Below are 14,122 nucleotides of genomic sequence, written 5' to 3' on the forward strand. Positions count from 1 at the left end.
CCAGCCATGCTAAACTTCTCTAATTGTCGTAATTTTTGTAAAGGTGGTTTTATATCCACCCATGGGAAGTTCCTCGAGAATCAAAAAGGGAGTAAAGAAAGAAAAAAAACACCCTTGTGATCCAGTCTCCAACACTGCTGTAAAGTAATTGTGGAAAAAAAAAAAGAGAAAACAAATCACCAGTTATATATGAGTCATATTGTTTTCTTTATTATTATTACTATTTTTCTTGAGACAGAGACTCACTCTGTCACCCAATCTGGAGTGCAGTGGCGTTATCTCAGCTCACTGCAGCCTCCGCCTCCCGGGTTCAAGCGATTCTCATGACTCAGCCTCCCGAGTAGCTGGGATTACAGGTGTGTGCCACCACGCCTGGCTAATTTTTTTGTATTTTTAGTGGAGACCAGGTTTCGCTACATTGGCCAGGCCGGTCTCCAACTCCTGGCTGCAAGCAATCTCCCTGCCTCAGCCTCTCAAAGTGAGGATTACAGGAGTGAGCCACCATGCCCGACCATATTGTTTTCCTTTTATCCAGCTGAAAAATACATTGCCATGCCCTTTATCTGAGTTCATATTCTGCAAAATATTTATTTTTAAATTTTTCTCTAGCTACATTTTCTCCCTGGAATGTAAATAGTCCTATTAAGAATAGTGACTGATACATACTGATGATTTTAAAATGCATATCTCTGGTCATGATCTCTCTTTTGACATCCAAATTTAGAAATGTAATTGTTTACTTGGCATTTCCCATTGGAATATATAACAGATAAATCAAACTGAACATGATCAAAATAGAACTTTGAATTCTCCTGTCCCTTCCTCAATCTATTTATCTTCCACTTTTCTACATCTGAGATACTATAATCCTCTAAATTGTTAAGGGATCTTGGAGGCCAAGACTCTTGGCCCTCTACAGATTCATGGAAAATCACCAACATGAGGCAGATTGATTAACAGAAAAAAAGACCTGCAATTTTTTTTTTTTTAATGTGTATACACAGGGGCCTTCAGAATGAAGACAAACTTCCCAATAAGGTACAGAAGCTTATATGCCATCTTCAGGCTACAGAGAAAAATGGGGACTTGGATCTTGGTAAAACAGGTTATGGGAAATGGAAAAAGAAGAATTCTAGTGAGGGGCAATAAATAAATGATGAATAGAAAATATGATTAGATCTGGGAACAGTCATTTTCTCTCTTTTTCTTTTTCTTTTCTTTATTTTCTTTTTGTTTTTCTTTTTTGTTTTTTAGACTCCAGTTCAGGCTGGAGTGCAGAGTGCAGTGATGTGATCTCACCTTACTGCTGCATCCTTAACCTCCTGGCTTGAGCAATCCTCTGACCTCCATCTCCCACACAGTTGCGACTATAGGCACGCGCCACCACACTCAGCTAATTTTTATGTATTTTTTGTAGAGATGGGGTATCACTATGTTGCCCAGGCTGGTCTTGAATTCCTGGAATCAAGTGTTCCTCCTGCCTCAGCCTCTCAAAGTGCTAGGATTACAGGCAGGAGCTACTGTACCTGGTCTCAGTAATTTTCTTGACAAAGGGTCAGTTCAGGTGTGGTTTACATTTTTGGTCTTCTTTTTTGCAACAGACCATGGGATAGCAAGGAGGGGCACAAGAACAGTTTTCTCCTTGGTGGGTCAGTCCCATCATTATGTAGACAGGGGAAAAAAGTCTCTTTCAGCATTTGATGATCTCTAAGTGTTTTTTTTTAAATACTCATACACCAGAGAGCCATATTTTGTAGTGAAACATTGATTTCCTTCAGGATACGGTAAGAGTCATCTCTCTGCATCCAAGCCATTCGCACATCTCACTCTACCAACAGAAACGTATGTCAAATCCAATCACTTCTCTGTCTCTCCTGTCATTGCCACAGTCCCTGCTACCATCATTTTTAATCAGGATTAATGCAATAGCCTCTTAACTGCTCTCTCTGCATCCATTCTTGTTACTTATTGTCAATTCTCCACAGATTAACAACAACAAAAGTAATGATAATCATAATAATAAATTTAAAGTGCAATCCACTGGCTTTTCTTAGTGGAATAAATTTTAAACTCTTTATGACTTTGTTATGGTTTATGCCTAGTTATCTCTGAAGATGTCTTCTACACTATACTAACCTCTTCCCCACCCAAGTATTTCTTTCTCCTTTTAGGAAGGAAGGAGAGAAGAAAGGAAGAAAGAAGGAGGAGAAGGGTATGGAGAAGAAGAAGAAAGAAGAAAAGAAAAACAACTTTGTTTCTGTCTGGGCCTGCATACCTTACTTTGCCCTGGCTGGCTTTTCTAGTCAAGAAAATTTTTCTTTAAATGCCAACATGTCAGGGAATTCTGCCTTGTGTTTACCCTATCTGAAGTATTTCCTGTCCCTTGCCTGACCTAGTAAGTCTCTATTATCCCACAGTGTCTTTTAGCTTCATAGCAATAATCTTTTTCTCTAAACTCACCTTTTAAAAATTGTATTTGTTTATTTATTTATGTGTTTGCCACTAGAATGTAAGTTCTATGACAAGAGACTTTATTTATTTATTTTTTTGCATTTCCCAAAAAATGTATCCCTAGCAATTACAACAGAGTTACATTATGGACTGACAAAAAAAAAAAAAAAAAAAGCCGAACACTAGAATGAATGAATAAATGAATGAATGAATGCTGTCACATGGGCAAATTTTACCTAAGTGTCATTTATATATCTTAATCTCCTTAGTGATGGCAGCATCAAATTTTTAAAATTATTTCCCTTATTAATAAATACATGCAAGAAAACCATCAAAGACAATTTCTAATTAAATATTACTGTTGTAAAATGGGAATGATTTAGTTGGTATTACCATTTGAGATTTCCTGATACTTGAGTTATTTTTCTTAAGAGAAATCAGAACTGTACAGTTATTTTTAAAGCTTCAAAATTAGAAAGAGCAATATGATCTATGCCAGACATTCTGCATGAAATACCATTGCAAATTCATGCCTGATTTAGTAAGTGAAGAATGCCATTTTCTTCAGCATCCCTATGATTTGTGGAGCATGGAACAATAACAAAAATAGCTTTGGAGAGGAACACAAAGGAATTTTATCTTTATCATAAGTTTGATAGAAATATTTAAGTCCCAGACATGTGGTAATGTTTAGGGGCAAAAAAACTCATTTAAGGTTTTATGATTTCCATAAGTAGAAATGCTTGGAATATTTTTAGGGAAAACGAATTTCTGCTAATCTATCAGAGTTTTAAGCTCTGGTAACTAAGATTGGTTTCTTTTGCATTACTTGAAATACATTTTCTGAAAATTATTAGTATTTTGATAATTCCTTTTGATGCTATTAGTAAAGGGAGCAGCACAAAAATGACAACTAGTACTTGTCAAGACAACTGAAACAGAGAAACTCCATTCAAGATATTTGTGAAATATGTCTATGTTATTTTTAAGAATAGAAATGACAAGCTCCTTAAGACCACATTTACATAATTATTTGCTAAAATCAATTTTAATAATTAAAACTAAAAATTGAAAAAGTGATGGATGTACACCAATTGTAAACAACCTAAAAATCCCCTCAGCCACGCTGCAGTCAATTAAACCATTGTGCATAAATGCAGTAAGAAAGACTCTTTCCAATGCTTCTTTCTCAGACTATTCATGAGCGTAATAGACCGTGCTATTTCAATGCAAAATGCAGTCAGTTCTTTATTATCCTCACTAATGGTGCAGATAATCCAAAGTGTTAGATAATCCTCAAACCATTTATTGTGGCATAGAAATAGACATTTTAAGGTTAAAAAATCCTTCTTAAAATTGGGGTTGATTTATCCACTGAGTGTAGAGAAAACTGAGACCTTTCTGTCCTTGCAGCCAGGAGACAGAAATTAAGATTCTTCTAGCTCTTCATTCATATTACAAATTTTAGTCTATATTTTCATTCAGTGAGACACTATTTTGCAACACTTTCATGGCTTTATTTTTTTTTTTAATTTTGCTTAAACAAGTTTTCAAATAAGAGGCAGGTGTACATTTGCATAAAAAGTAATGGATTCGAATTTCTTTTATACCTATTGTCTTACACTTTCATTAAATAACACGCAAACTTTTGAGTTGTGGTTTGAGAAACAGTGTTGCACTTATCCACTCATTACTACTCTTCCATGTTATTCTTCCCTGCTTTTTAGGGCATTTACCCTTTAGCTAATTGTCACCCAATAAATGTACATTACTTTATTTAAACATTGATCATAAAGAATATGTCTTTATTGTAAGAATCCCTAGATTACAGAGCCATGAAGTTTGAGGGTGCACTATAAATTCTTTCATGATACAAGTCGACTGAGTAAATGGGGAACCAAATAGATCAAATAACTTGCTGAAGGTCAAAAAGGGAGCAGAACTGATAGCTTAAAGTTGTGTGTGTGTGTATGTGTGTGTGTTTTCCTTTCTGAATATGCTATCTTATTCTTAACAAATACTAACATGTTCTACATAATGCTAGATAATTCCATAGAATTTTCTACTTGAGTTTAAATTCAATTATAGCGTCCTCCTTCTCTTGTGTGTTCTCTCTTTCCAAGAATAGTACATTCTGGCTAAAAGTTTGCTTGGCATTTTTTAATAATAGTTTTGTTTCCTGAACAGAAACTCACAGACTGCAGGAAAAGATAGATCAGAAGTGTACTGTGTAGCTGAGGCATATCATCTGGGAACTTCAAATTAATTATGGGTAATAACAGTAAAAAAAAAATCAGTCATTGACTGGAGATCATTTATTTCTCCTTTTCCTTTCTTGTAACCACAGAGAAATACATATTGAAAATTACATTTTCTATTCAATTATACCTAAAAGTGTTATGCCTAGTTGAGTGCTTAGTCTATACTCAGAGAGAACAATTAGAAACTTGTGTCTACAATTACTTAATTTAATATTTCATTGCATGCCAGTGCTTTAAAAAGGGAGTTCCATCTCAGGCATTGTTAAAATGAAGCTTAGCATAATTAAAAGACAGGATGCCCCTGAAAAGTTACACTGATGTTTAAAAAAATTGTTAATATCAACTAATGATGACATTAATTTAGTAAAAATATGCACAAGAAAAATCTTTTACTACAAACTAACAATTATATTAATGCTTAATATTAACACTCAAACACAAATAAAGTGATATACCTACTTTTAAAATTGAAAAGAAACCATACTTTAAATACTCACTGAACAAATTTTTAAAAATTGGCTACTACCCTCATCACACTAACAAATACATTTTTCTCTTGTTCTCCCTTTATAAAAATTTTCCCAGCTGGGCATGGTGGCTCACGCTTATAATCCCAGTACTTCGGGAGGCCGAGGCAGGTCAGGAGTTCAAGAACATCCTGGCCAAGATGGTGAAACCTCATCTCTACTAAAAATACAAAAATTAGCCTGGCATGGTGGCATGTGCCTGTAGTCCCAGCTACTTGAGAGGCTGAGGCAGAGAATTGCTTGAACCTGGGAGGCAGAGGGTGCAGTGAGCTGAGATTGCCCCACTGCATTCCAGCCTGGGCAACAGAGCGAGACTCCATCTCAAAAAAAAAAAAAAAAAAAAAAATTTCCCGTCATCTAAATACGATAGGAAAATGGAAATATATCCCTTCAAAATACTCCCTGCCTCCACCTCATGGTCAAATACTTGATAGTATTCATTTGTAGATAATGTTAAGTTGAACTACGTGAAATCCCCAATATTTGAAATTTTTTTGCCCAAAGAAGCTTGAGAGCCTAGTCTATGTGAGGGTATGTTAGAGGTTCTTTTAGCATTTAAAACTAGAAAGCAAGATTATCACTTTTTAAGGTTGAAAATTATCAATAATTGTGGATAGCATTGAGTATATCATATTTCAGACATTTTTGACATAAATTATCTCACTTCATTTCCACCCTTATCCTAAGATTATTATTGACCCTATTTTAACTGATAAAAGAGCTAATTTTTCAGATTTTAAGTAACTTGACCTAGATTACAAATCCGTGAAATGTCCAAGATGTCATGCTCCTCTTCTGTTGTGATATAGATCACTTTTCTATATTTCTCCTGAAAATAAAAGCCATATGTTCATAGTGATGACACTGTGCTTCATTATATAAATTAACGAAGAAAAGACATCCTCTCTAGAACATGAAAGTCACCAACACTTTCCCTCTATTATCCAAAAAGACAGAACTTTTGCCTGGGGAGCCATTCATTGTCATACAAGTGCTTCTTCCCTTTCATTCAAGGTGCAGGAAGAAAATGGTTGGAATTAGTAAGTACTGAAAAGTAGGATGTTGGTAAAACCAAAAAAAAAAAAAGACTGATAAAAGCGCATTTCATTATTCTCTAGAGAGAGTTGACGCATCTTTGGAAGGGACGAATGGCAGAGATTGTCAGAAATGAGGAGAGGAGAGTTGCTCAAAGGCGAGAATCCGAAAAAAAAAAAAAAAATAGAGAAAGGACATTGGAGGTGAGACGGCATTCTTAATGCACAACTTCCTATGTTTTGAAAGCATTTATACTGAACACTAATGTAATTAACTCTACTTGATGCCAATTTAATAGGCAGTTGACTGCATTTGTATTGTACAGTTCTTGGAAGTAAAGAGATCTACTACTAGATACTGTTTAGTTGAAGGATGAGTAGGAACAATTCCTTAGATTTCACCCACTGAGAGAGTAGGTAGAGCAAAATGAAACTATGTAGAAAGGAGTGTTTATATCAGGTTAATTGTTTCTGGCTATTCTAGCTTCTTTTGTACCCATCTCATTATATTTTAGGGAACCCTCTACTTTTTTCTTTTTCTAGATCCTAAGGAAACATATGCTGGGCATTGAACGTTCCTCATTTATCATTATTTTGTCTGATCTTTAAAAAGTGACAAAACATGGTAGGTGTTCAAAAAATAGGTGTTGAATGAGTCATTGACTGATATTAATGTTTTCTAAAGATTTAGGAAAGCAGCATCAGGTAATCTAGTTTCTGAAAAAAAGGAAGTATTCAGCTCTTGTGAAAAATAATCAAATGCGTTAGTTTTCCTTGTAAGTGAGTACAATAAAATTATTTGCTGTTGGAGCAGGGAATCATGCCTGGTCTCTTCTGAAGCTTCCATAACATGAAGGCTATCAATGGATATAGATTGAGTAAAATAAAAATTGGTAAAATAAATAAATGAGTTAACAAATCATGTAAACTGTATCAATAAAATCAAGGAAATATATTATTTTTCTCTGAATGTCTAAAAATTATCCCACTAAGGCTAATATATTGTGGAGCTGGCAATCCACTTTACTGAATGATTCTTAGGGTACTGAATGAAGGCAGCAATTATTACAAGGTAAACTTAAGGGTAGAGCTTAAAAATGCAAATCTGTATTTATCCCACTAAGGCTAATATATTGTGGAGCTGGCAATCTGCTTTACTGAATGATTCTTAGGGTACTGAATGAAAGCAGCAAGTATTACAAGGCAAACTTAGGGTAGAGCTTAAAAATGCAAATCTGTAAAAAGACTAAGATTTATAGTTGGGATAATAATTTATACTGGCATCTTTGAGCTTTGATTAAGTATACAAAAACGAGGAAAAAAAGGAGGAAAAAAACGAGGAAAAAATGGCTAATCTAAGCAAAATGAATTTTCTGCTGGATGTGTAAGCAAAAATACAGATGAGTTTTTACGAAAGGACATCAATAAATTTTGAGTTGGATCAGCAGCAGTTGAACGTACTTAAAAACTTGTGTATATATTCATCACACGTGCAGCCTCCAAGTTTACATGTAACTGGTAGTACAGTTATAATTCAAATCAGCAAAAGCCATGAAATCTAAATGCAAAGATAAACCATAATTTACACCATTGAGTTTTCACGTCCCTTTCCTGGCTCCATCTGAAATTCCCCTTGAGAATCTTAAGTCAGAGCTCTGTCTGGAAGAAGTAATCCTGAGGATATCTAAAATCCTTTGTTACCACTTAGGCAAAGGAGATTCCACAAGATCTGAGAAGTGTGGAGTAATTCTTCCTAGCATCATAATGTTCAGAGCTGTATACTCAGAGGAGAAAAAAATTCAACCGTATCATATAACTACAGTGTATTTAGCCAAAATGGAAGCTATTTTTGGCATGGCTTGCTCACTGTAGATGTTATTTCCTTTAGCAATATATTGAGCAATGCATTTGTGATTATTATAAATAAATAAAACTCTATGTACAACAACCACAGTAAAATCATTTGAAAAAACTGCTAACCTATTTTTTAGGATAGAAATCTTTATGAATTTCTTCAATAAAATATCATTATTCCAGTAAGACAAGGGCTTAAGAAATTATAGATGCCTTCCCCCCTAACTTAATCATATTAGCAATCTAAGTAAAACCTTCTAAATGCTTTCTGAAGTTATTGATTCCCCTTGTAGAAATCTATCTGAACTATATCATAGAGTCATTAGCAGGTAATGCTATGCTGTACAAATTATATACTGACAGAATTTACTGGTGAGGTAAGAGAATCAGGACACATTAGCCATTTGCTCAACTAATTGTTGCTACTGTGTGCATTTTACTGCGTGCAATCTCTGCAAAACAGTTTTTAATGAGGCATTAGTCTTTTTCTTATATTATTCCCTTAATTCCCTTCTATATTCTTTAAAATCCTAATCAGCAAAATCACTCACAATACCCACTTCTAAAAGTGAAACAGTTAGCTGCAATGTGGTATCAATGGACTTAGCATTGTACCTTTAATATGTGTACACTGTACATCTCAAAGGGAGTCAACTTCACATATTTGTTCATTAAACAATAGTAATGATCTTAATAAGGTACTATGCATATTTGATGAGTTTTAATGTAAAGCATATTTCCTAATATACAAAATATAGCAAAAGTAATCTTTCAATTCGAGTAATTTTCTTCCCTAGAATTTATTAAGAGCAGAAACTTCCAAATGAATAGAAATGAATTATATATAAATGATTTTTTTTCTGGAAAATCCCACGCAACCAAAAGAGTTAATATTGCATAAAAAATAGATAGGCAAATTAACTGTGGTACAAGCATTAAAAGTATATAAATGCTGGCCAAAAAAGCTAAACAGCCCATGGAAAAGGACAACTGTAATTCAACAAATTTAAATTCTAGGCCTAAGGGTAACAAAAATATAGACCCTAATAAGATGGTTCCAACTCAAGTTTTCAGAGGAATAACTATTTCTGTGGAATGACTACAAATAGTTTCTAATGCTATTATCAACAAAATAATAAAAGCCTGGAGGCAAGATAAAACGCACATCAACACTTTATATTTTAAATAACACAACATGCTTAACAATCTTAGCCATTATGCTCTCATTTTGACAACATTCAAACTCCAATGTGGTTTAAAATATTCCAGTGGGAAAAATTTGTATAAATTTTTAAGTGTTCACTAGATGTGTTGGTTGTAAATTTCTTCTCTATACACTGAACTTTTTTTTTTTAAGATGGAGTCTCACTTTGTCGCCCACGCTGGAGTGCAGTGGCGCTATATCGGCTCACTGCAAGCTCCGCCTCCCGGGTTCATGTCATTCTGTTGCCTCAGGCTCCCGAGTAGCTGGGACTACAGGCACCGGCCACCATACCCGGCTAATTTTTTGTATTTTTAGTAGAGACGGGGTTTCACCGTGTTAGCCAGGATGGTCTCGATCTCCTGACCTCGTGATCCGCCCGCCTCAGCCTCCCAAAGTGCTGGGGTTACAGGCGTGAGCCACCGCACCCAGCTATACACTGAAATTTTAAATGAAGTCAAGCTAAATATTTATAAACTCAAATACTGTGAGTGTGTGTGTATGTATGCATGTTCATTAGAATAAAAGCTGAATATAATTGTATTCTGTAAAAATTGATCCCCAAATTAGCAAACAATGACTGAATTCTAAATCTCTAGCTAAAGTCTGCATCTCTTTTTCTGAACTTTAGAATTTCATGTTCTTCATCAAGATACATCACACTTTAACATGTAAATGACCTCCAGCTGAACTCATTTTTTCTACTCCACTCTCTCCCTGGCCCCCACACAATTTTCCAAACAGGTGTTAGAATGGATGGTAATTTATAAATTTAGTTATGCAACACTTTTGCCACAACTTGTGGAATAAAACCTACACTCCCTACCTTATTCTACAAGGCTACATTGGATTTGTTCATGGATGTTATTGAGTCTCATTTCTCATACCTTTTTCATAAACTATTTTATGCCTCAGTCTCTTTGCAGGTTCTCCTCCTCCTTGCCCAGGATGCTAGCCTCTATTCTGATATTCCAATGATAAACACTTGCGCATTTTCAAGGTACATGAACGTCACATTTCTAAGTATCCTGCCTGATACTCCACTCTCAGGTAGAGTATTGTTTCTTACATTATACCGATTTAAACATTTATATATTTAACTCCCATATTAGCCTATCAGCTACTTGATATGGGAGATATTATCTAGCTCATTATTGTATCATTATCTGTTACAGTTCCAGGTGTATGATAGCTATGCCACAGACATTTCATAAAGGGTACTTACTTGGTATTTTGTAATCTCTTTAACATACACTCTTCACTAAGGCTTACAGAACAAGTCTAGAATTCTTTTTGCAGGGGAGGTCATAGTAGCTAATTCTTCTAGTTGATCATCTTCTGTTTTCTAATTGTTTTACATATTGATAAACCTAATATAATTAACACATTACATTTTCTGGCTGCAGAAATAGATTCAGGAATGGACCTTGACCTAATGCAGGTCAAGAAGCATATGAAGATTTTGGGAGGTTCCCCTGCACTTATGAAAGAACTTCAGAATTATGCTTTCATCTGGACAATTTCATATAGGGATGCTTTAAACTTACCTATTCCATTATATCTAGGACGTCTTTGACTGAAGCTTCTATATTTACGTTTGGCTTATCACTTACACTAATTTCAACCAAAGTCAGCTAGAGATACAGCTGGTTGAGCCCATAATATTAATAACAATTTCAAAAACCTAGGTCTTGTTTAACATTCATAATCAATGTAAAGTTTTATCCTCAGTTATCTACTTGTTTTTTACCGCATCCTTTTCCAAATCCATCCCTTGATCTTCCCATGAAGAAATTTTCTACTCCATCTTAATTGCCCTATACTTTATTTTCCTATAGCTGTTTTCATTATCACATGGAAGAGTTCCATTTCCAAGTTAAGTGACAGTAATGAAAAGACTTGTCTCAATTGGATTTCCTCTATTGCAATTAGTCAAATTCTGAGTATTTCACAACAATGTTATAAAATGTCAAAAGAATGTAAACTCTTTGTACTGTCTTTCTTCCTACTTTGTCTGCTACTCCACAAGGTGTTTTAGGCTTTACAAAATTTCTCAGAATGAACTTTTACATCTTTCAATTAAATTAAATAACCTTTTAATTTTTCTCTACCTATGTCTGCACTAATGTAACCTTTCATTAAATTAAACCAATAAATAAAGTTTTATTATATTCTATATTCCCTAGTCAACAGATGAAATGCCCATTTATTATGAGCTTGGTGTTAAAGTTAACTTCCAGGCTGAGCCTGGTGGCTCACACCTGTAATCCCAGCACTTTGGGAGGCCAAGGCGCATGGATCACGAGGTCAGGAGTTCGAGACCAGCCTGACCAACATGGTGAAACCCCGTCTCTACTAAAAATACAAAAATGAGCCTGGTGGCACATGCCTATAATCCCAGCTACTCAGGAGGCTGAGGCAGGAGAGTTGCTTTAACCCGGGAGGCGGAGGTTGCAGTGAGCCGAGATGGCATCATTGCACTCCAGTCTGAGTGACAGGGCGAGACTCCATCTCAGAAAAAAAAAAAAAAGTTAACATCCAGAAGAGAAGAGAAAAAATAAGAAGTTGTAGAAATGGAGTTGGAAATCTGATGGAATTTTGCCTGATCACTATCTTTGTTCTGAAATTTCTCTCTAATGAGAGTCAGTAAAACCAATCTGTATTTTAAGCTACCTTGAGTTTGTTTTCTTCTGCAGTAAAAATAGTTCAAATGATCACAAGATTTTATATATATATATGTACACATATATCTGTATCTATATATCTATATATGATAGAATGTGAATCGGGAGACATATTATATTACCAATAAGACATATATAAATCAGGGGATATATGTCTATATTTCTTATTAGTAATAATTATAATATATTATAGTAATGTAATTATACTATTATATAATATATAACATATTTTATATGTTATATAACATAATATATATTATAATTACTATAATACATTATAATATAAATATAAAATATATATAACTATAATTACAAATATAAACATATTTAATTTATAGACTTCATTTCCAAATATGACACCAAGTAGAAAGAAGTATTCCATGGGCCTTCACACAGCAACTCTTCTGTGGGCGTTCAACTCCATAGAGTGTCCTTGAGTGACAGAGACTCACTCAGGGGCTGGATGGAGGACACAGTCATACTCAGGTGTCCATAGTGACATCAAGATATAAAGGGAGAACTAGGTTGGCCAGAGTGGCATCAGTCCCCAACCAAGCCTGGAGAGAGACCTAACAATGAAATGCACGATCTCAATCTCAATGCCAAATTTACCCACTAACATGAAAGTTAAATACTTTAATAGTGTAAAAAATAATAGTGTGAATGCCATTAGAATGAATAGTGACTAGTTGGGCAAGGAAACTTGTCATGACTAATGACTAAAGAGCAGCCACAGTAACAAGAGGACACTCACAGATATGAAAACCAAAACATTTGGACCAAAAAAAGTTGTTTTATTTAAATGTTTCATTTAAGCATTTTGAGTATGGAGCAATATTACTAAATTAGACTCACTCTTAGCTTTCTCCATCTTCCAACCTCATCAGGAGGCAATGGATTTGTGAACTGAGAAGGGAGATTGGCATGCTCCATTACCCACTTAAATATCAACTAGGGGAAGAGCAGGTAATGTGGAAGAGATTTGAAAGTCTGGAAATATTTTCAAAAGGGAGTCGGTAACTTTAACTGATTGTCCACTTATGCTTTTGGATCAAACTTATTCTCCTCTGGCATCTGCTCTGTGTTGGAGCTGATTGTATACATCTCTTTCTAATTCCCTGTTCAGTCAAGTCACATAGATCGTTTGAAATCAGTCACGGTGGGAATATCTCTACCACAGAAATCTGTAGCCCATCAGATGTTTTTCTTTCTAGAGATCATTTTACCACTGTGCCAGTTTTTGGAGGCTGAAAAAGGAAGAACAGTTATATCCTTTCATGAATAAAGATACTATCTTGGGTAAGGGAAAGGGTTTGTATCAAACATCTCAAAATCTGAGCACTTATCCAAAACATAGTTAAGGTTTTGGGATAAGAGATTAGCCTGAAATTATCTCACTGAAAAGTCTTAGTTTTGTTTTCTCCTGACTTCCTCAGCACATGAGGAAAATTAGAGCAATCTTCTCAGATAAGTGGTATTTTTACTGTCCATCTCAGTTCATGTCGAGTGATTCTTTTTTCAGTAATATGCCAAATAAATAAATGCCACAGTCAAGGAATGTAATAAAATATGTAAACAACAACCATTACTAGCAAAGAGAAATAGAAAATGTTGTTTTCTACTTTTTGAGCCAATAAAATGATGTAAGTATCCTAGAGACAGGAATACTGATGCAACCATAAACAAACAAGTGATGGCCCTGATCCTAGTTTATCTGTGTAAACAAAGGATTTTGTCATTTGATCACAACATGTAACACCCAGATATTTTTTTCTCTGTGGAATGAATCTACATGTTTTATCGCAAAATAAATGTAACTATGTATTATAATATTTTTCTTCTCATACAAAAATAATCTCACTCCATATTAATCTGTTTCCCCTGTACACACATGATAAATCAGATAATTTAAATTTACTATTATTTTATTTTAAAGCTTATACCTAGACATGTTATTTTCTATTGATAAAGTTATTCCAACGATTATTATCAAATTGTTTTATTTTAATGTGTATGACATGAAAATGGAATGTCAGTTACAATTCCATCAAAAAAATGGAAGGTGGTTGTTTCTGTGTAAAAAGCCAAAAATGATCCAGTGGAGTTGCAT

This window comes from Homo sapiens, chromosome 5 (genome assembly GCF_000001405.40).
Source record: "Homo sapiens chromosome 5, GRCh38.p14 Primary Assembly".
Taxonomy (NCBI): Eukaryota; Metazoa; Chordata; class Mammalia; order Primates; family Hominidae; genus Homo; species Homo sapiens.